At 37.8% G+C, this 23404-nt stretch overlaps 1 protein-coding gene and 1 long non-coding RNA gene across 25 annotated transcripts in view; both read right to left on the bottom strand.

The window, feature by feature from the left end:
* KIAA1328 overlaps positions 1-23404 on the bottom strand; it is a 403046-nt gene that overhangs the window by 249977 nt on the left and 129665 nt on the right. For 17 of the 24 annotated variants that reach the window (NR_136303.3, NR_136304.2, NR_136305.2 and 14 more), the window contains one exon: positions 22761-22888. Coding sequence is in view for 20 of the 24 variants with exons in the window: in XM_047437678.1 (XP_047293634.1) it covers positions 22761-22888 (128 nt within the window). In the remaining 4 variants the exon portion in view is untranslated. The remainder of the gene's footprint in view (positions 1-22760; positions 22889-23404) is intronic. The other 7 variants (XM_017025881.2, XM_047437681.1, XM_047437682.1 and 4 more) reach the window with 2 other exon arrangements.
* On the bottom strand, positions 4722-19516 carry LOC124904287 (uncharacterized). The gene is made up of 2 exons (XR_007066344.1): positions 9430-19516; positions 4722-5043 (listed from the first exon to the last, which is right to left on the bottom strand). It is a non-coding gene; the product is annotated as an uncharacterized LOC124904287 (long non-coding RNA).

Raw genomic sequence — 23404 nt, 5'->3', positions numbered from 1 at the left:
TCCTTCAGGAACTCCAGTTATATATATTATATATATATATTATATATATTTATTTATATTTTTATAATATATTTATATATTATATAATTATATTATATATAATATAATATAAATATATATATTAATTAGATCACTTAGAGTTGTCCAACAACTCAATGATTTTAGTTAAATCACTTTTTTCTGTCTAACTGCTATATCTCCAACTCACTCATTTTTTCTTCTGCAATGTCTAATCTCCCATTAATCCGATCCAGTGTATTTTTGTTATTAGACAGAATGATTTTCATACACAAAAGTTCAATCTGCTGGGTGTGGTGGCTCATGCCTATAATCCCAGCACTTCTGGAGGCTGAGGTGGATCACTTGAGACCAGGAGTTCAGGACCAGCCTGGGCAACAAAGTGAGACTCAATCTCTACCAAAAAAAAAAAAAAATCAAACAATTAGCCAGGTGTCGTGTTGTGCACCAGGAGTCCCAGTTACTTGAGAGGCTGAGACAGAAGAATCCTTTGAGCCTAGGAGAAAGAGGCTGCACGGAGCCATGTTCACACTACTGCACTTCAGCCTGGGTGACTGAGCAAGATCCCATCTCAAAAAACAAAGAAAGAGTTCAATTTGTGTCTCTTTGGTATCTATATGGTACTATTTGTCTTTATAAACCAATGGAATATAGGTATAATAATGGCTTAATAATCCTTGACTGTTAATTTTATTATCTGTGTCAATTCAACTGATTATTCTCCTGTATGGGGATTGCATTTTACTGATTCTTTGCATGCCTACTTTGAATTCCCAGTGTTGTAAATTTTATCTTCTTGGGTATTATATATTTATGTATTTCTCTATTCTTGAGGTTTATTCTGTGACAGTTTAGTTACGGTTTATTCTGTCACAGTTTAGTTACTTGGAAACAGCTTGATTCACTTAGATCTTTCTTTTCTGATTTGTTGAATCAGTGTGGAGAGGTGCTCAGCCTAGAGCTATTTATTTTCCATGACTAGGACAAAAATCTAACTGGAATATTCTACCCAATGCCCTATAAATTATGAATTTTTCTCTTGCTGATGGGAACAAGCACTATTCCCAGGCATTATTTTACTAATAAGAATTCTAAAATAAATTCCATCTCTACAAGTGCCCATTATTTGTTCCTCACCAATTAAGTTTTCCTTGTTAGTTGGTGTATTAGTCTGTTTTCATGCTGCTGATAAAGACATACCGAAGACTGGGCAATTCACAAAAGTAAGAAGTTTAAATGGACTCACAGTTCCACTTAGCTGGGGAGGTCTCACAATCATGGCAGAAGGTAAGGAGAAGCAAGTCCCATCTTAAGGGGATGGCCTGTGGCAGGCAAGGAGAGCTTGTGCAAGGAAACTCTCCCTTATAATACTGTCAGAACTCATGAGATTTATTCACTATCATGAGAACAGCATGGGAAAGACCAGCCCCCATAATTCATTCATCTCCCACCGGGTACCTCCCATAACACATGGGAATTATGGGAGCTACAAGATAATATTTGGGTGGGAACACAGAGCCAAACCATGTCAGCTGGAATTAACTCCAGAATAATTGTACTTCTCATTACTTCCTTTCACTTCACTTAGGCCGGTAAAAAAATCACCAGATATTCTAAATGTATAACAGTGAGTCTTCTAGCATATGCCCAATTGTTGTGGAAGCAGCCATACGACATGCCACTGCTCTCTGGTATTGCTCAACCAGTAAACTGGGCCTGGAACATTCTCTATATGGAAGCTGAGCTGTTGCGTGTCCCCAAATTCTCCTTCCTTATCAAGAGAAACATCATATGGACCCTGACCAGCCCCACCAGTATATCTGTCCCTTGTGGGAAGGGAACTAGGTCTTCACCTGCAGCATGAGAAGTGTGCATGTAGTAGTCTATTGCCCTGCACTGGCTATAAGGAGGGACTCATTGGCCATGAGAGACCAGCTGCCTTAGTGTATGTGTGCTGCAATAAGAGAATACCACAGGCTGAATAATTTATAAAAAAAGAGAAATTTATTTCTCATAGTTCAGGAGATGGTGAAATCCAAGATCAAGATGGAAGTTTTCAGTAAGGGCTGCTCTCTGCTTCTAAGATGGCACTTTGAATGCTGCCTCCACTGGTGAGGAGGAATGCTGTGTCATCACATGGCAGAAGGCAGAAGAACAATAAGGGAACCCACTCCTTCAAGTTCTTTTTATAACAGCATTACTCTGTTCATGACGGTGAGACCCTCATGACCTAAATATAATACCTCCCATTAAGCTCCACCTCTCAATAATGTTGCACTGGGGATTAAGTTTCCAACACATGAATGTGGGGGAACACAATCAGACCATAGCACTGGTATACACTATAGACAGTGATCTTGCTGAGTCTCTTCTCCTTTCTTTGAGTAAAGTATTGTTCCAATCTGTGACATGTGGGTTGAGTCTTCCTTTGCAACTCTGAACCCACTGAAGATGCAGTGGGCTGAGGTCTATGATCTCCCATTTCTGGTGATTGGCATTGTTATGGTTGCTACCAAACTCCATGTAGTGGGAATCCTCACTTGGGATTGGTAGCTGGATCTTCCTGCTTGATACCAATATTATATATTGCAGTTCCTATTACTATAATCTCTTATTTCTATACCAGCCTTTATTCTGTTTTTATGGCAGCATCATTTACTTCCTATTCTGTGGACTCCCACAGTTACATCACTTCCATATCTGTTTCCTATTATCTTCATCCAAATGCTTTTAGCTGTGATCCTACCTGAAGAATAAAAGTTTCTTTATTCTTAAATTACTCAGAAGTATGAGTTGACATTGATTTAGACTAGATTTAATGGTTAAATTTACTTCTTAGTCTGCCCATATAATCATCACAGTTTATATCTATAATAAACATAAAACCTTCTCTGAGGTACTGGAGGTTCAACTTTAAGGTTTCTAAGTCTTAAGAGGCACACCAATAGGTATTCATATAACCTTCTTTCTTTTTATTTTATTCATTTTATTTTTAAATTTTATTTTATTATTTTTAGAGATAGGGTCTCAGTCTGTTACCCAGGCTGCAGTGGTACAATGGTGCAATCATAGCTCACTGTAGCCTTGAACTCCTGGGCTCAAGTGATCCTCCCACTTCAGCCTCCCGAGTAGCTGGGAATACAGGTGTGTACCACCATGCCCAGCTATTTTTCAAATATTTGTAGAGATGGGGTCTGGCTATGTTGCCCAGGCTGGTCTTGAACTGGCTTCAAGTGATCCACCTGCCTTGGCCTTCCAAAGTGCTGAGATTATACACATGAGCCACAGTGCCCAGTTCATATAATGTTCTTTTAAGGCAATACTAGTCAGCCGCTTTAAGGAAAAAATAAATCTGTCTTTAAAAACTCAAATGCAACTATGGGACTACAATCTTGAAGTACTGGGCAAAGCAAATGCCAAAAGAAGAAAATGTGGCAAGGAGAAATAGGAAAGAAGATCTGGTGCTCTCATGTACAAGAAATATAAATGGCCACATGAGGTGAAGGAATAGGCATACAGTATACTATATTTCTATTAATCTCCTAATGACAATAATGATCACCAAAAGAAGACAGTAAAGAGACTAGATATAAAGAAAGTTAAAAATGTGTTAAAAGTTCCAAGTCTGAATGCCAACTGACACATTTCTCATGAGCAGAAGAGTTACCATAGCTGGCCTGAACCTGCTACCCTTAGAATGTCCTGCTTACACAGTTGGCCCTTCGCTGGCAATATGCAAACCGATTTCTGAACTGTTTCCACCAATTCGTAACTGATATTCATATCTTACTATGCCTAACCAGTTTATACAAACAACTTGGTTCATGCTGAACATCTGTTTTCCCTCTGGGAGTCTGGAAATTGATATACAGTAGAGGGTGCCTATGTGACCAGCCCCCAACAGAAACTTTAGGTTCTGAGTCTCCAGTGAGTCTCCCTGGTAGATAACATTTCACAGTAGTTGTCAGAATTCACTGCTGGAGGAACAAAGCATATATTGTGTGATTCCATTTAGAGATGAGTCTTATAAGATTGCATGGGCTTTTCTTCCAGACTTTACCTTTTCCCTTTATTCCTTTCATAGTAATAAATCTTGGCCAGGCGCGGTGGCTCTCACCTGTAATCTCAGCACTTTGAGAGGCTGAGGCAGGCAGATCACTTGAGGCCAGGAGCTGGAGCCAGCCTGGGCAACATGGCAAAACCCAACCTCTACTAAAATTACAAAAATTAGCCAGGGAGGGTGGCACACACCTGTAATTCCAGCTACTTGAAAGGCTGAGACATGAGAATCTCTTGAACCTGGAAGGCGGAGGTTGCAGTGAGCCAAGACTGCACCACTGCACTCCAGCCTGGGGGACAGAGTGAGACTCTGTCTCATAAAATAAAAAATAAAATAAAATAAAATAAAAAACCTTCACAGTGAGTATGACTATATGCAGAGCCTTCTGAGTCTTGTCAATCACTAAACCTGGGGGTTGTCTTGAGAACCCTGAAACACCTTGTTTCTGGGTTTGATTAATGTGGTCCCTTGTTTTAAAAACAAAAAAATGACGTTAGGGTGGCACACAGTTCCAGTTGGGTGTCCTTCTCTATGAGATAGTGCCCTGAGTACTCAGACAAATTATCTGAGAAAGACGGCACCAAGTAAGAGTAGACATGTAAGAGTATCGGGAAACAGCAGTCACTCAATCTGTCAAGCAGGCCAGAATCCATCAAACATTTATTTCATACCCAAAGCAGAGCAAAATGCTTAAGGCTACACATTTTTGAGAGCTCTGAACACTGTGTAAAGGTGTAAGCTGAACAGAGCAATAGATTGACAAAATCAACAGAGCATTAAACTTAAAAAGTTATATCCTGACTCAGTCTGGAAGAACTGAAGCTACCAACACAGTTAGCTAGCCAATGAGAAAAGGATTACCTCACGATGCCAATGACAGGCCTTTAAGGATACACAGTGAAAGAATGAAGAACAGTGGATTAAGCCTTCAAGTTGTTCCTTTTGCCCATCAGTGCTAAACAGTGCTGTAATTGGGGAGACACACAAATTACCTTGTGTTTCTACTTATTTCTAGCCTATTCTCTAAACGTGCTGCCTCCTTAAGTAGTATGTTTCTATCTGAATGATTAAAAAGCATGACTATCACGCTTAAAAAAGGTATTAGAGTAACCAAGAAGATACCACACTGTAGGGGGTATTTATCAGAGCTTCCTTTTAATCAATACTCCGTATGAAATGAAATAAATTTACTTAGAAAAATTGAATCATTGATATGACCTGGGAGATTGAGATCATATAACAACACAAGTCAAATAATAAATTCCAAATCCTAAATTAATCTGACTGCTCCACTTTCAGAGATTTCCTTCTGCTCAGCATTCTTAAGATTTAGCATCACAAAGTTAGAGCTGGAAGGAATCTTAGATAACATCAAATCTACGCAGGTATTTGAGAAAATAAACAATGTACCACTCCTGTGTTATTTAGAATATAGTATTCTAATTAATTATAATATATAACAATTGTAATATAATATAATCTATAAACAACGTAATAAATATTACACTGTTTTCTCATCCATCCATCCATCCTTCCTTTCTTCCCTCCTTCTCTCTACATATCTATCATATCTCTTTAATCAGGCTAAGTCACTAAAAAAGAAGACATGGATCTACTTTGAGATTTCGGTGGCTACTGTTGTAACCTGTAAAAAGCAGGAACGCAATAATTTTATTTCATTTTGATACTGAAATTTATATTACGTTTGTTTCACAATTATTCAGCAAGGTAAAAACATATGTAATATATCACCAATTTTTTCTGAAAAACACAGATCTCACCTGAGCTAACAAGCCCAGTCACGACTAGCTTACATCTCCTTAGTCAACATATTCATTATAGGAACTCATACATTTCTTATATCCAGGCATTAATTTCTGTTCCAGAACTACACTGTCCAAAATTATAGCCACAGGTGTCTATTAATATTAAACAAAATTCAGTTCTCCTCAGTCTCATCAGTCATATATCAAGTGCTCAAGAGCCACACATGGTGAGTTGCTATCATATTGGACAATGCACAGACAGGACAGTTACATCATCAGAAAGTTCTGTTGAGCAGTACTGCTCTGAGAGATTTCTTCTTTCAGGGTAGTTTGATTGCAATTGATTTCTATGTCTTTCTCTGTTTTGTTTATATCCCATGACATGCCTAATCCAGAGGACTTCTATAATGGCAAACTGTAAATATCTAAGATAGACATAAAGGTAAATCATAGGTACAAAATTAAAAAATTTAAAGGAACTATAGAGGAGGAAAAATAATTTTATCTCTATCCTTCATAGTTCTTAACTGGGATTCTCTGTAACAAAAGACAGACCAACAAGAGAAAAAGAAACAAAAAGCTTTAACAATTAAGGGAAGAAATGATTTAGTATTCACTGAATAATAAAAGTTAAAAAATCGGTTGGCAAGAGGGATTAAAATTTAACTTTGTTAACAGGCAGTTGAAGGAAGTTAACTTATGAGAAGACTTAACTCCACAAGTAGAAGCACAGTCAAATATTACATTTTCTGAGGTTTTATCTGTTTACCTGAAGGGTGCCTGGCAAATTGCTTTGTCAGCAATGCTCAATATATATGTCAGTATTCCCATCCAAAAAAGGGAAAAGGGTGTTTAGAATTGTAGCTTGTAGGCCGGGCGCGGTGGCTCACGCCTGTAATCCCAGCACTTTGGGAGGCCGAGGCGGGCGGATCACGAGGTCAGGAGATCGAGACCATCCCAGCTAAAACGGTGAAACCCCGTCTCTACTAAAAATACAAAAAATTAGCCAGGCGTAGTGGCGGGCGCCTGTAGTCCCAGCTACTTGGGAGGCTGAGGCAGGAGAATGGCGTGAACCCGGGAGGCAGAGCTTGCAGTGAGCCGAGATCCCGCCACTGCACTCCAGACTGGGCGACAGAGCGAGACTCCGTCTCAAAAAAAAAAAAAAAAAAAAAAAATTGTAGCTTGTACTTTGGTCCTTGGATCAATAACTTAGCTTTGAAAGAGTTCAATGGATACCAGTGACTGATATCAACATAATATCAAAGGATAACCCAATCCTCTCTCTCTTCTGCACTCAAGACTTTTTATCTCAGCATGGTGATACTAACTTTGCAAAATCCAGTACTACTAATCTGGCTGTTTATATACCATGACCGATAGAACTGGTTCCAGATCAAGACTTGCTGTTCCAAGAGCAAAAATTCACTCATACTTTGTCTGAGACAATCTGTTTAGTACTAGATTATACTTCTTATCACACAATGCCCTATGACAGATGGCACAGTTTTTGAGCCAGAGTCCATTAGAAATAAATGAACAATAGAAAAATCCTTCTGTGATGCAGAGAAAGGGAAATGCTTATATACTGTTGATGCGAGTGTAAATAATTACAACCTGTATGGAAAACAGTATGGAGATTTCTCGAATAACTAAAAATAGAACAACAATTCAATCTAGCAATCCCACTACTGTGTATCTACCCAAAGGAAAAGAAATAATCACATAAAAAGATACATGTACTTGTATGTTTATTGCAACACTATTCACAATAGCAAAGATAAGGAATCAACATAAATGTCTATCAATGGATGATTAGAAAAAGAAAATGTGGTATATACACAATGGAATACTATTCATCCGCAAAAAAAGAATGCAATTATGTCTACTGCAGTAACATAAATGGAACTGGAGGCTTTTATCTTCAGTGAAACAACTCAGAAACTGAAAAATACCACATGTTCTCACTTAGAAATGAGAGCTAGATAATGTGGAATAATAGACATTGGAGACTCAGAAGAGTGGAGGCTATGAGGGGGGAGCAGATAATAAAAAAAAATTACTCAATGAATATAATGTACATTATTCCGGTGATGGATACACTAAAAGCCCAGACTTCACTACCTACATAATATAGCCATGTAACGAAACTATACTCATACCCCTAAAATTTATACAAATCAAAAAAGAAAAAAGCCTTCTTCTGAGATGGAGAATTGAGAACAAATGTCAAACAGTCAGATATAAGAGCAAACAACCCTGATTCCAAAAAAGGTGACCATAAACCTAAATTTTGCAGTATATTTTGACCACTGTGCCCAATCATATCTAATTTAGATAACACATAAACTTTAATGTTATTAATATCACATTATCAGTTTAAATACTTTTCAGGTTTCATTTTGAATCTGTAACCTGCTGGTAGAAAGTATATATCTTCAGGTCAATAACCAGGTATTAAGGTCTAGATTACACTGAAAAATAGAATTTTTGAAGATATATATGTGTGTGTGTGTGTGTGTGTATGTGTGTGTGTGTGTGTATGTGCGTACACACAATTATATATAAAACTGTGTCCCTGGTAGCAATTATCAATCAATCAGAAACCACTAACTGGAAGACAATAGTAAATATATGTCTGTAATGTCGATTTGGTTTTCAACTACTCTGAGACTTGTAATATTTCACTGAGTAATTATTTATTATTATTCAATTTAGCCTGACATGAGGATTCAGAATGGGTACGCACAATTTTAAATGGAGTGTATAGAGAACGATGCCTTCTCTCACATTAGTAGCATCTGGGCTACAATAACTTGTGTCATTATCTGAATAAATAAATGGCCATAAAACATAAAAAGCAAAATTTTTTATTATTATTATTTTACTTTGAGTTCTAGGGTACATGTGCACAACGTGTAGGTTTGTTACATATGTATACATGTGCCATATTTGTGTGCTGCACCCGTTAACTCGTCATTTACATTAGGTATACCTCCTAATGCTATCCCTCGCCCCTCCCCCGACCCCCCAGCAGGGCCTGGTGTGTGATGTTCCCTACCCTGTGTCCATGTGTTCTCATTGTTCAATTCCCACCTATGAGTGAGAACATGCGGAGTTTGGTTTTCTGTCCTTGGGATAGTTTGCTCAGAATGATGGTTTCCAGCTTCATCCATGTCCCCATAAAAGACATGAACTCATCCTTTTTTATGGCTGCGTAGTATTCCATGGTGTATATGTGCCACATTTTCTTAATCCAGTCTATCACTGATGGACATTTGTGTTGGTTCCAAGTCTTAAAAAGCAAAATATTTTTAAAATCCAATAAAAATAATCCATTCTACAGATTAGTCAGCTACCACGGCAGCATCTTCAACACAAAATTGATATATTCACACAACAGACAAAACTTTAGATAACTGAACAAAACAGAATTTTAACTATCACCTTGTTGGTAATATCTTTTCCTGTTTCAGGCTCAATGTGTGTTCCTCTGTATTGTTTAAGTGTATGCACCAATGGCCCTCAGGTATATTCCCAGCATTTAGTATTTTATACTCCAGAGGGGAGGAAGAGAAGTTTGCTTACTGGGACAGGAACGGGACAGGAGAGACAGGTTGGCTGCCAGAGAACCCGCTGGATATAGGGGACACCCTATCCATGAAAGACCAATGCCATCATTGAAGCTGATCTTGCTGTTTCTTTTTTATGTAAGTTAACTGTTGTTTCATCCAGTGCTTGATTGCTTAGTGTTTTCCTTGGCTACTCTGACACCAAAAAAAGTAGGCCGAAGTTTTGGAACTTACATTAACAATGGCTAGCATTGTGATGATCTTTGATCCTTCTGTGGTTAGACCCCTCCCCCGACATGGTAACCATATACATGATATTCTGCTCTTCCTCTGTGTTAAAAGGCAATACTTCTGGCTATTATTAATTATATAAGGGTAAATTATATAGTGTGATCCACTGTTGAAGTTCAGGTATAAAAAACACTGCACCTAAAGAAGAAAAAAACTGGTGCTGAGAAAAATCATTAACTGAAACTAGGTTTTACAAAAGGTATCCTGAATGATGGATTAATGTTTAGCTTAATTTTTGTGCATGGTGTGAAGGGTCCAAATGTATTTCTTTTCGCATGTGTTCAATTGTCCCATCATCATTAGTTGAAAAGATTATTCTTTCTCCCCATTTAACTGCCTTAGCACTTTTGTCAATAATCAATTGACCATCATTGTTAGGGTTTATTATATGGATTTACAATTTTGTTCCACTGATTAATATATCCATTCTTATGGCAGTACTGTACTGTCATGAATACTGCATGTATTTTCTTTTTAAACTTTTATTTTAGGTTCACTGTACATATGCAGGTTTGTTATATAGGTAAACTTGTGTCACAGGGCTTTGATGTACAGATTATTTCATTACCCAGGTAACAAGCACAGTACCCATAGTTATCTTTTTCTTCTTCTCTCCTTCCTCCCACCCTTTACCTTTTAGTAGGCTTCAGTGTCTGTTGTTCCTCTCTTTGGGTCCATATATTCTTATATTTAGCTCCCACTTACAAGTGAGAACTTGGTTTTCTGTTCCTGTTAGTTTGCTAAGGATAATGGCCTCTTGTTCAATCCATGTTTCTGCAAAGAACATGATCTCGTTCTTTTTTATGGCTGCATAGTATTTCATGGTATACAGTACCACATTTTTTAAATTTATTTTATTTTTGAGATGGAGTTTTACTCTTGTCGTCCAGGGTGGAGTGCAATGGTGTAATCTCAGCTCACCACAACCTCTGCCTCCTGGGTTCAAGCGATTCTCCTGCCTCAGTCTCCCAAGTAGCTGGGATTACAGGCATCCACCACCACACCTGGCTAATTCTGTATTTTTAGTAGAGACAGGGTTTCACCATGTTGGTCAGGCTGGTCTTGAACTCCCAACCTCAGGTGATCCACTGACCTCGGCTTCCCAAAGTGCCTATGTCGTGAATGGTATTACCTAGGTTTTCTTCTAGGGTTTTTATGGTTTTAGGTCTTACGTTTAAGTCTTTAATTCATCTTGAATTATTTTTTGTATAAGGTGCAAGGAAGGGGTCCAGTTTCAGTTTTCTGCATAGGGCTACATAGTTTTCCAAACACCATTTATTTAATAGGGAATCCTTTCTCCATTGCTTTTGTCAGGTTTGTCAAAGATCAGATGGTTGTAGATGTGTGGTGTTATTTCTGAGGCCTCTGTTCTGTTCCATTGGTCTATATATCTGCTTTGGTACCAGTACCATGCTGTTTTGGTTACTGTAGCCTTGTAGTATAGTTTGAAGTCAGGTAGCATGATGCCTCCAGCTTTGCTCTTTTTGCTTAGGATTGTCTTGGCTATGCAGGCTCTTTTTTGGTTCCATATGAAATTTAAAGTAGTTTTTTGTAATTCTGTGAAGAAAGTCAATGGTAGCTTGATGGGGATAGCATTGAGTCAACAAATTACTTTGGGCATTGCGGCCATTTTCATGATATTGATTCTTCCCATCCATGAGTATGGAATGTTTTCCCATTTCTTTGTGTCCTCTCTTATTTCCTTGAGCAGTGGTTTGTAGTTCTCCTTGAAGAGGTCCTTCACATCCCTTGTAAGTTGGATACCTAGGTATTTTATTATCTTTGTAGCAATTGTGAATGGGAGTTCACTCATGATTTGGCTCTCTGTCTATTATTGGTGTATAGCAATGCTTGTGAATTTTGCACACTGATTTTGTATCCTGAGACTTTGCTGAAGTTGCTTATCAGCTTAAGGAGATTTTAGGCTCAGACAATGGGGTTTTCTAAATATACACTCATATCATCTGCAAACAGACAATTTGACTTCCTCTCTTCCTATATGGATACCATTTATTTCTTTCTCTTCCCCGATTGCCCTGGCCAGAACTTCCAATACTACGTTGAGTAAGAGTGGTGAGAGAGAGCATCCATATCTTGTGCCCGTTTTCAAAGGGAATGCTTCCAGCTTTTCCCCAATCAGTATGATATTGGCTGTGGGTTTGTCATAAATAGCTCTTATTATTTTGAGATATGTTCCACCAATACCTAATGTATTGAGAGTCTGTAGCATAAAGGGGTGTTGATTATTATCAAAGGTCTTTTCTGCATCTATTGGGATAATCATGTGGTTTTGTCATTGGTTCATTTATGTGATGGATTATGTTTATTGATTTGCATAAGTTGAACCAGCCTTGCATCCCAGGGATGAAGCCAACTTGATTGTGATGGACAAGCTTTTTAATGTGCTATTGGATTTGGTGTGCCAGTATTTTATTGAGGATTTTCACATCAATGTTCATTGGGGATATTGGCCTGAAATTTTCATTTTTTGCTGTGTCTCTGCCAGGTTTTGGTATCAGGATGATGCTGGCCTCACAAAATGAGTTAGGGAGGAGTCCCTCTTTTTCTGTTGTTCAGAATAGTGTGAGAAGGAATGGTACCAGCTCCTGTTTGTCCTCTGGTAGAATTCAGCTGTGAATCTGTCTAGTCCTGGGATTTTTTTTGTTATGTCTCTGCCAGGTTTTGGTATCAGGATAATGTTGGCCTCATAGAAAGAGTTAGGGAGGAGTCCTTACTTTTCAATTTGTTAGAATCGTTTCAGTAGGAATGCTACCAGCCCTTCTTTGTACATCTGGTAGAATTTGGCTGTGAATTTATCTGGTCTTGAGATTTTTTTGGTTGGTAGGTTATTACTGATTCAATTTCAGAGCTCATTATTGGTATGTGTAGAGATTCAATTTCTTCCTGGTTCAGCCTTGGGAGAGTGTATGTACCCAGAAATTTATCAATTTCTTCTAGATTTTCTAGTTTGTGTGCATAGAGGTGTTCATAATAGTCTCTGATGGTTATTTGCATTTCTGTGGGGTCAGTGATAATATTCCCTTTTTCATTACTGATTGTGTTTACTTGGATCTTCTCTCTTTTCTTCTTTATTAGTCTGCCTAGTGGTTTATCCAGCTTATTAATTTTTTTCAAAAGACCAGCTCCTGGCTTCGTTTATCTTTTAAATGTTTTCTTTGTGTTTCAATCTCCTTCAGTTAAGCTCTGATTTTGGCTATTTCCTGTCACCTCTTCCTTTGGGGTGGTTTGCTCTTGCTTCTCTAGTTCTTTTAGTTGTGATGTTACGTTGTTAATCTGAGGTCTTTCTAACTTTTTATGTGGCTGTTTAGTGCTATAAATTTCCCTTTTAACACTGCCTTAGCTGTGTTCCAGAGATTCTGGTATATTGTACCTTTGTTCTCAATCATTTCAAAGAACTTCTTGTTTTCTGCCTTAATTTCATTATTTACTCAAAAGTCATTCACAAGCAGATTGTTTAATTTCCATGAAACTGTATAGTTTTCAAAGATCTTCTTGGTCTTGAATTCTATTTTTATTGTACTGTGGTCTGAGAGAGTAGCTAATATATGATTTTGGTTCTTTTGCATTTGCTGCAGATTGTTTTATGTCCAATTGTTTGACCAATTTTAGATTATGTTGTACTCAGTGCAGATGAGAAGAATATATATTGTGTTGTTTTGGGGTAGAGAGTTTTATAGATGTCTATCAGATCCATTTGGTCCAGTGTTCAGGTCCTGAATATCTTTGTTAATTTTCTGACTTAAGGATCTGTCTAATACTGTCAGTGGGGGTGTTGAAATATCTCACTATTATTGTGTGGAAATTTAAGTCTCTTTGAAGGTCTCTAAGAACTTGCTTTATGAATCTGGGTCGCCTTGTGTTAGATGCAAACACATTTTGGCTAATTAGGTTTTCATGTTGAATTAAAACCTTTGCCATTATGTAATGGCCTTCTTTGTCTTTTTTGATCTTTGTTTTCTGATTCTAGGCAAGATGTTTAAAGTCTGTTTTGTCTGATATTAGAATTGCAACCCTTACTTTTTTCTGTTTTTTATTTGCTTGGTAGATTTTTCTCCATCCCTTTATTTTTAGCCTACGGGTGTCACTGCACATGACATGGGTCTCTTGAACACAACATACCATTGGGTCTTGCTTCTTCATTCAGTTTGCTACTCTGTGCCTTTTCACTGGGGTATTTAGCTCGTTTACATTCAAGGTTAGTATTGATATGTGTGGATTTGATCCTGTCATCATGTTGTTAGCTGTTTATTATGCTGATTTATTTGTGTGGTTGCATTATAGTGTCACTGGTCTGTGTACTTAAGTGTGTTTTTGCAGTTGCTGGTCTTTCCTTTCCATATTTAGTGCTTCTTTCAGGAGCTCTTGTAAAGCAGGTCTGGTGGTACCAGGTACCAGGTCTGGTGGTAGCAGGTCTAGCTAGGTTGGGGAAGTTCTCATGAATGATATCCTGAAATATGTTTTCCAAATATGTTTTCCAAGTTGTTTCTCCCCATCTATTTCAAAGATGCCAATGAGTCATAGATTTGGTCTCTTTACGTAATCCTATATTTCTTGAAGATTTTCTTCATTCCCTTTCATTCTTTTTTCTTTACTGTTGTGTGACTGTCTTATTTCTGGGATTCCAGATGCCCATGATAAGAGTGAGTTGCTCCTTGCCTGTTCAACTCACCCACTCCACAGGAGTCACTGAAGGCCATGAACAAGTCCCAGTGTGCAGTAGCCCTGTGCAGGGTTCCCAGCTTCCTCCCCTTTCAGCCCAGCATCTGTTTCTTCCTTCTGCCCACTCTCAATGCCTCCCTTCTGAAGATCTGCTAGGAGTGTACCAGTTTTCCTGATGTCCCAGTCCTTTGGTGGGAAATGTTCCTCCTGCCTGGGTCTAGTTGGCCATCTTGGAGCCCTCTGTGTGTATTCTTCCTCTATTTTTCCAAAACAAGTTACCATAAATGCAACAGCTTAAAATAACCCAAATTCATTAGCTCACAGTTATGTAGGTCAAAAGGCCAGACCAACTCAACTAGGTTCTATGTTTAGTTTCTCACAAGACTGAATCCAGGTTGTCAGCTGAGCTGTGATCTAATTTGGAATATCTGAGGAGGAAACTGATTCCAAGTTCATTCAGGTTGCTGACAGAATATAGCTCCTTGTGGTTGTAGGACTTAAATCCTTATTTTCTTGCTGTTAGCCATGAACTATCCTCAGCTTTGAGCCCCATTCATCTTTAAAGCTAGAAATGGTAAGTTGAATCCTTCTCATGTTTCAAATCTCTCTGATTTCATCTTTTACTCTCAGCTAAAGAAAACTCTCTGCTTTTCTTATTTATTAGATCGGGCCTACCAAGATAATCTTTTTAAATATATAACATAACATAGTCACAAGAGTGAAACCATTTTGCCAGGGGGCCAAGGTCATGTGAGCCATCTTAAAATTCTACCTACTATACCATAGCTTTAGAACAAATTATGAAACTGAAAAGAGTAACCCTCTACTCTTCTCATCGTTCTCAAAATTGTTTTGGCTATTCTCACTCCTTTGCACTTCCATATAAATTTTAAGACTGTTTTACCAGTTTCCACAAAAAAGGAATTATCAAAATCTGCTGGAATTCTGATCAGGATTGCAACAAATCTACAGATCAATTTGGGAAAAACGGCCAATCCATGACCATGGAACCCATTTCCATCTATTTAGATGTTCTTCAGTTTCTCTCAGCCATGTTTTAATGTCTTCAGTGTATACGTCTTGCACTTCTGTTAAATATATCCGTATTTTAATTGTTCATTGGTAATCAACAGAAATAAAATTGATTTTTTACATATTGATCTTATATCCTGTATCCTCGCTGAACTCATTTATTAGTTCCATCACCTTTTTTTGTGGATTTCTTATGATTCTCTATATGCAGGATGATGTTATTTATAAATAAAGACAGTTTTACTTCCTTTCCACTAACTTAATTCCAGTATATGGAAAATTCACTCTAATATAGCTCCCTCCCTTCTCATCTCCCTTGTGCAAATGTATACACAAATGTACACACACACACGATCTTTATATCTTGTAAGCTCAATACAGGATTATTATTGTTTTATTCAGGTGTCTAAAATTGTTTAAGGAAAAGGAAATACACATCTTTATTGATGCTTTTTATTTCTTTGTGTGGATTTGAGTTACTGCCTTATGTCATTTTCCTTTCATCTAAACAGACTTCTATTAGTATTTATTGTAAGGCAGGTAAACTAGTACTCTTAGTCTTTCTTAATGTGGAAATGCCTTTATATTACCTTCAGTTTTGAAGAATGATTTTGCTTGATTGCCACAGTTTCCTTTTCCCTCAGCTCTTTGAATAAGCTGTTGTACTGCCTTGTCCTGCATTGTTTCTGTTGAGAAATCTGCTGTTATTCCTATTCTTGTTCTTTCTTTGTTTGTTTGCTTTTGTTTACCATGGCAGGCCTAGCAAGGAACAATTCTTGTTTTACCTACAGACCTTTTAGTCTGTGAGGAGTTTAATAGTATAATGTGCCTCACACCTTCTTTAGTTTTTTGGTTTTTTTTTTTGTCAATTAGAAGTATGACGATGCCTCTGGATTGTCAATAAAATCTAGGCTTATAAGTGGTATTATAACTTGAAGATAGCCTAGTATTAGATAGAATTAAGACATATATTACACATTAAGTACACATTAAAAAGAACAAAATAAAATTAGATAAAATTTTAACCAAAAGAATATATGAAAGTAGTCACAGAATAGGAAGTAGTCATAAGACTGTGTGTCCCTAAGTACTATAAAACTTTTTTTTTTGGCCAGGCACAGTGGCTTATGACTATAATCCCAGCACTTTGGGAGGCCAAGGTGGGTGGATCACCTGAGGTCAGGAGTCTGAGACCAGCCTGACCAACATGGTGAAACCCCGTCTCTACTAAAAATACAAAAATTAGCCAGGCGTGGTGGCCACCACGCCTGGCTAATTTTGTGTGTGTGTGTATTTTTAGTAGAGACAGGGTTTCATCATGTTGACCAGGCTGGTTTCGAACTCCTGATCGCCTTTTAATAACACTATAGAGGCAATAGTGATAACAACCAACAACAGACATTAAATTTGTAGTAAGCAATGACCCATCTTTAGTACATTTCAGATTCTTGACCAGTCTGTGACCCAGACCTACTAAGAAATATGGAACAAGTAATCACAGGGAAAATAAAGAAGTTTCTCTAACAAGCCTTTTACCAGATCAGAGGAACTGAAATTCAATATCCATTGCCCATGGCTAAAAAGTAATTATTTTACCAATTTTAAGGAAATAAAAGAAATCCTAAGAAAATTCTAAAGCTACTTTATATCTACCTGCCAAAATAATGCAGAGTTAATAAAAATAGTAAAATAGGCTGACCTACCAACATTTTCAAACTGGAGTAGAAGAAGCTATTCAAAATGCTGCCTAGGCTTTCTCTTATTACAAACAGTACTGAGGAAATACGACAACTTTTGTAAAATGGTATGGGCTACAAATAAGACAAAAAAGGAAGTTATGAGCATCATAAGTGAAGTGACACTAAGTTTAGATTCCAAAAAAAAAAAAGAAGTAACACACTCCTATAACAAGAAAAGGCTATAAAATGTACATTGACCAAAACTATGGTTATTAGACCCTACCATGTTCAAGACTAGGATTGTACTATAGCTAAGTACTATTTATTAAGATAAGATAATGGGGTAATATACACACATCAAATAAACACTACAACCTAAATAGAACAAGTGAAGAACCTCTCTAGAACCCACTATGAAGAACCTATAATGCTGAATAAATTACAAAAGAAATGTAGAATGTATTTATCTTTAAGAAAAGGAGAGAAAGAGGATAGGGAGAAAACAAGAAAAAAAATCACCTTGTAAATAAAGCCAACTTGTTTTCAAGGAAATGACAGATGTCAAAAACAAAAATCATAAGCTAGGGCATTCTTCTGGAGAACTGTGGATTTAATAAACTACAAGCAAAACCATAATATGCTATTTAAGGCACAGAGAGTAACGAATACAAACAAGAAACAGAAAAAGTCTCTCAAAGTCAAAGAAATGCCTCATGAAAAACAATCTGCTGCCATCGTCATCATAAAATCTGCAGGTGAAATTTTTAAAAATTTGAGAATAAAATTTTATGTTTTATCTGACATTGTGGCTCCTTGCAAGGAAAGAAAATACTTGCCCACCATCTCTAGCATATTTGTGCTCTAGAGTTTAAAAATCTGTATGTCAGATTAAGAGCCAAGGAGAGTTAGTTATAGAAACAAGAATATCTAAAGCCAAATTTTAACCATTTTAGTTATCTCAAATTTTTCTTGTCTTTCCTTCTTCAACAAACTATAGTGCCAGACTGGCTTGGTTCATATCTTGGCTTTGCCAACCTGTTAGCTGTATGACCTGGCTGATTCATTCATTCTGCCTCTGGGAGAGGCATAAAACAGAGATAATAACCTACCTTATTTCATTGAGTTAGGATTAAATGATTTAATATGTATTAACATGTAGTATGTACTACATAAATGTTTGTTAAATACAAATTAATGAAAAAGAAATATTTCTTAAGCCAAGACCTATGTTAGGCTCTGAGTGTACAAAAACCAATGCAACAAGATGCCTGTTTTCAAAAAAGCTGGTAAGGGAGATAGATGAATGATATAACAACGATTACAAAATAACAAAAAAGGTGACATTACAGAGATGGGCACAGTCTATCTGCAAGTACATAAATAGAACATGTAACTTCATGACAAGGTAAGTGGGAAGTGGGAAGAGAATTAGGTCAGTGTCATCACTGAGGTTTACAGTATTCACAATGATGCCGTTACTGCAAGGAAGTAGCCTTATTGGGCAAAACCCCCAAGAAATCACTAGCTTAAATACAAATCAGTAACACCTGAGAAAGTTTTATTTTCCTCCAATTTCAACAGTAAATAGAAAAAGAGTCTTTTCCACATGTCTTTAGGATCCCCTGGTGACTATTTCTTCACTATCAGCTCTGTATCCTTAAGATAAGACTATTAATACTGGTAAATGAAAGATTGCTCCATCTCCCTTCCCACATCCTTGCCAAATGGATTGGCCTTCCGTTTTGTGCCCTCTTCACACATCTATGTCATGCAGGAGCAGTAAATAGAAACGCAAAACCAAAGGTCTGAAATCTGATCTTCACACTACCATTTTCTCTTACCCCCTGAAAAGCAATAGGCAAGAGCCACCTTAAAAACTGCCTGACTTGTTTTCCGTGTAGCAGGGAAACTTCACATAAACAATAAAAAATAGATGCCACCTTCCTCTGCCTCTTTTTATCAGCTATGTTTTAAGAAAACAGAACAGAAGAAAATATTTCAGATCAAAATACAAACAAACCATTTATACTTTGGCTATTTCAATTTTGTTGATCTTTTCAAAAAACCAGCTCCTGGATTCATTGATTTTTTGAAGGGTTTTTTTGTGCCTCTATCTCCTTCAGTTCTACTCTGATCTTAGTTATTTCTTGCCTTCTGCTAGCTTTTGAATTTGTTTGCTCTTGCTTCTCTAGGTCTTTTAATTGTGAAGTTAGGGTGTCAATTTTAGATCTTTCCTGCTTTCTCTTGTAGGCAATTAGTGCTATAAATTTCCCTCTACACAGTGCTTTAAATGTGTCCCAGAGATTCTGGCACGTTGTGTCTCTGTTATCATTGCTTTAAAAGAAGATCTTTATTTCTGCCTTCATTTCGTTATTTACCCAGTAGTCATTCAGGAGCAGGTTGTTCAGTTCCATGTAGTTGTGCCGTTTTGAGTGAGTTTTTTAATCCTGAGTTCTAATTTGATTGCACTGTTGTCTGAGACAGTTTGTTGTGATTTCTGTTCTGTTACATTTGCTGAGGAGTGCTTTACTTCCAATTACGTAGTCAATTTTAGAATAAGCATGATGTGGTGCTGAGAAGAATGTATATTCTGTTGATTTGGGGTAGAGAGTTCTGTAGATGTCTATTAGGTCCGCCTGGTGCAGAGCTGAGTTCAAGTGCTGGATATCCTTGTTAACTTTCTGTCCCATTGATCTGTCTAATATTGACAGTGGGGTGTTAAATTCTCCCATTATTATTGTATCAGACTCTAAGTCCCTTTGTAGGTCTTTAAGGACTTGCTTTATGAATCTGGGTGCTTCTGTATTGGATACATATATATTTAGGATAGTTAGCTTTTCTTGTGGAATTGATCTCTTTACCATTATATAATGGCTTTCCTTGTCTCTTTTGATCTTTGTTGGTTTAAAGTCTGTTTTATCAGAGACTAGGATTGCAACCCCTGGTTTTTGTTGTTGTTGTTTTCCATTTGCTTGGTAGATCTTCCTCCATCCCTTTATTTTGAGCCTATGTGTGTCTCTGCACATGAGATGGGTCTCCTGAATACAGCACATTGATAGGTCTTGATTCTTTATCCAATTTGCCAGTCTGTGTCTTTTAACTGGGGCATTTAGCCCATTTACATTTAAGGTTAATATTGTTATGTGGAATTTGATCCTGTCATTATGATGTTAACTGGTTATTTTTCCCAATAATTGATGCAGTTTCTTCATAGCATCAATGGTCTTTACAATTTGGCATGTTTTTATAGTGGCTGGTACCAGTTGTTCCCTTCCATGTTTAGTGCTCCCTTCAGGAGCTCTTGTAAGGCAGGCCTGGTGGTGACAAAATCTCTCAGCATTTGCTTGTCTGTGAAGGATTTTATTTCCCTTCACTTATGAAGCTTAGTTTGGCTGGATATGAAATTCTGGGTTGAAAATTCTTTTCTTTAAGAATGTTGAAGATTGGCCCCCACTCTCTTCTGGCTTGTAGGGTTTCTGCTGAGGGATCCACTGTTAGTCTGATGAGCTTCCCTTTGTGGGTAACCCGACCTTTCTCTCTGGCTGCCCTTAACATTTTTTCCTTCATTTCATCCTTGGCGAATCTGACAATTACGTGTCTTGGGGTTGCTCTTCTTGAGGAGTATCTTTGTGGTGTTCTCTGTATTTCCTGAATTTGAATGTTGGCCTGCCTTGCTTGGTTGGGGAAGTTCTCCTGGATAATATCCTGAAGAGTGTTTTCCAGCTTGGTTCCATTCTCCCTGACACTTTCAGGTACACCAACCAAATGTAGATTTGGTCTTTTCACATATTCCCATATTTGCTGGAGGCTTTGCTCGTTTGTTTTTACTTTTTTTTCTCTAAGCTTGTCTTCTCACTTTATTTCATTAAGTTGATCTTCAATCACTGATATCCTTTCTTCCACTTGATTGAATCAGCTATTGAAGCTTGTGCACACATCACAAGGTTCTTGTGCCATGGTTTTCAGCTCCATCAGGTCATTTAAGTTCTTCTCTACCGTGTTTATTCTAGTTAGCCATTCATCTAACTTTTTTCAAGGTTTTTAGCTTCCTTGCAATGGGTTAGAACATGCTCCTTTAGCTCAGAGAAGTGTGTTATTATCAACCTTCTGAAACCCACTTCTGTCAACTCATCAAAGTCATTCTCCAGCCAGCTTTGTTCCATTGCTGGCGAGGAGTTGCGATCCTTTGGAGGAGAAGAGGAGCTCTGGTTTTTAGAATTTTCAGCTTCTCTGCTTTGGTTTCTCCCCACCTTTGTGGTTTTATCTACCTTTGGTCTTTGATGTTGGTGACCTACAGATGGGGTTTTGGTGTGGATGTCCTTTTTGTTGATGTTGATGATATTCCTTTCTGTTTGTTAGTTTTCCTTCTAACAGTCAGGTCTCTCAGCTGCAGGTCTGTTGGTGTTTGCTGGAAGTCCACTCCAGACCCTGTTTGCCTGGGTATCACCAGCAGAGGCTGCAGAACAGCAAATATTGGTGCCTGATCCTTCCTCTGGAAGCTTCGTCCCAGAGGGGCACCTGCCTGTATGAGGTGTCTGTTGGCCTCTACTGTGAGGTGTCTCCCAGTCAGGCTACACAGTGGTCAGGGATCCACTTGAGGAGGCAGTCTGTCCATTCTCAGAGCTCAAACGCCATGCTGGGAGAACCACTGCTCTCTTCAGAGCTGTCAGACAGGGATGTTTAAGCCTGCAGAAGTTTCTGCTGCCTTTTGTTCAGCAATGCCCTGCCCACAGAGGTGGAATCTGTAGAGGCAGTAGGCCTTGCTGAGCTGCGGTGGGCTCCATCCAGTTCGAGCTTCCCGGCCACTGTTTACCTACTGAAGCCTCAGCAATGGTCGACGCCCCTCCCCCTGCCGGGCTGCAGCCTCATAGGTTGATCTCAGACTGCTGCGTTAGCAGTGAGCAAGGCTCCGTGGGCATGACACCCACCCAGCCAGACACAGGAGAGAATCCCCTGGTCTGCTGGTTGCTAAGACTGTGGGAAAAGCCCAGTATTTGGGTGGAAGTGTCCTGTTTTTCCAGATACAGTCTGTAATGGCTTCCCTTGGCTAGGAAACGGAAATCCCCCAACCAGAAGTGGGTCTTTAGGGCTTATTTCACATCACATCTGGCAGGGTTCTGAGCATTCATTTAAGTATATAATACATACCATTTGGTGATAAGTGTACAAACGCTTATATAAATACTCTCCTACATACTTATGTGATTAATATATGTATGCAAGCATATGCAAAATATCCTAATATTCTCCAATTAAAGTTTTTATAAGTCCACAATTAACTTTCATTATTCTAAAAAATAAACATGAATTAAGAAAGGCTTATTTGTGATTTCCATAAGGACAATGAGTAACAAACAGCCCACCTGATCTTCATTAAGTAACAGAGCAGTGTTTTCTTTACCCTTCTGGCTGTGCTTTCATACAACCAGAAGCTTCCCCACTGACCCACACAGACTGCTTCAAGTAATCATTCCTTACCTTTGGGTCCAGGAACAGGAGGAGAAAGGAAAGGGGGAGGGAAAGACATCAACTCAATCACACGCAGTGGCTACATGTTTTAAAACAATATTATATACTGGGAGGAAATTAAGATAAAAAACAAATGGCTCTTCTGACATCTTGCTGATCCACTGAAGACAAGAAAAGTAAAATTAAAGATGCTTACCTGCTGTTCCTGCATTCTAGCAGCACCAAGTTCTGAGAGAGACATGGTGAGCTTCTCCTGTTGTTCTGATAAATATTTCTGATACAGGCTTAGAAGTTCTTGGCATTCTCTATACTGTAGCTGAAGAGGTGAGATTGCAAATTAAGGGAAAAAAACTGAAAAATTGATTCAAACTGCATCCATCAATGCTGCTTTTCATATTCCAATAAACAAAACAGAACCAGAAATGCAATCATATTTGGCGAGAGTCATAAGTATAAAGTCTTCAGATAAAAGTTACATGTATTTCTCCCCGAAAATCATAAAACAATACTTCACAAAGAGAGTAACAATGAACATCCCATTTGAAAATAAATTTATTCCTCGATTCTTTAAATTTGAATAAAAACAAATGCAGATACATGCAAAGGAACCCCTACCTCACACCATATTAAAAAAACAAAACAAGCTGAAAATGCATCATTGATCTAAACGTAAGAGTTAAAACTATAAAACTCTTAGCAGAAAATATAAAAGTACATCTTTGTGACCTTGGATTAGGCGATGATCACTTAAAAGTACAAGTAACCAAATAAAAAAAAAAATAGACAAATTAGACTTCGAAATGTAAAATGATTGTGTTTCAAAAGGCATTATTTTAAATT

Source organism: Homo sapiens, chromosome 18 (genome assembly GCF_000001405.40).
Source record: "Homo sapiens chromosome 18, GRCh38.p14 Primary Assembly".
NCBI classification, from domain to species: domain Eukaryota; kingdom Metazoa; phylum Chordata; class Mammalia; order Primates; family Hominidae; genus Homo; species Homo sapiens.
Note: the sequence above shows the minus strand (reverse complement) of the source record. Positions and strands in the feature narration are given on the sequence as shown.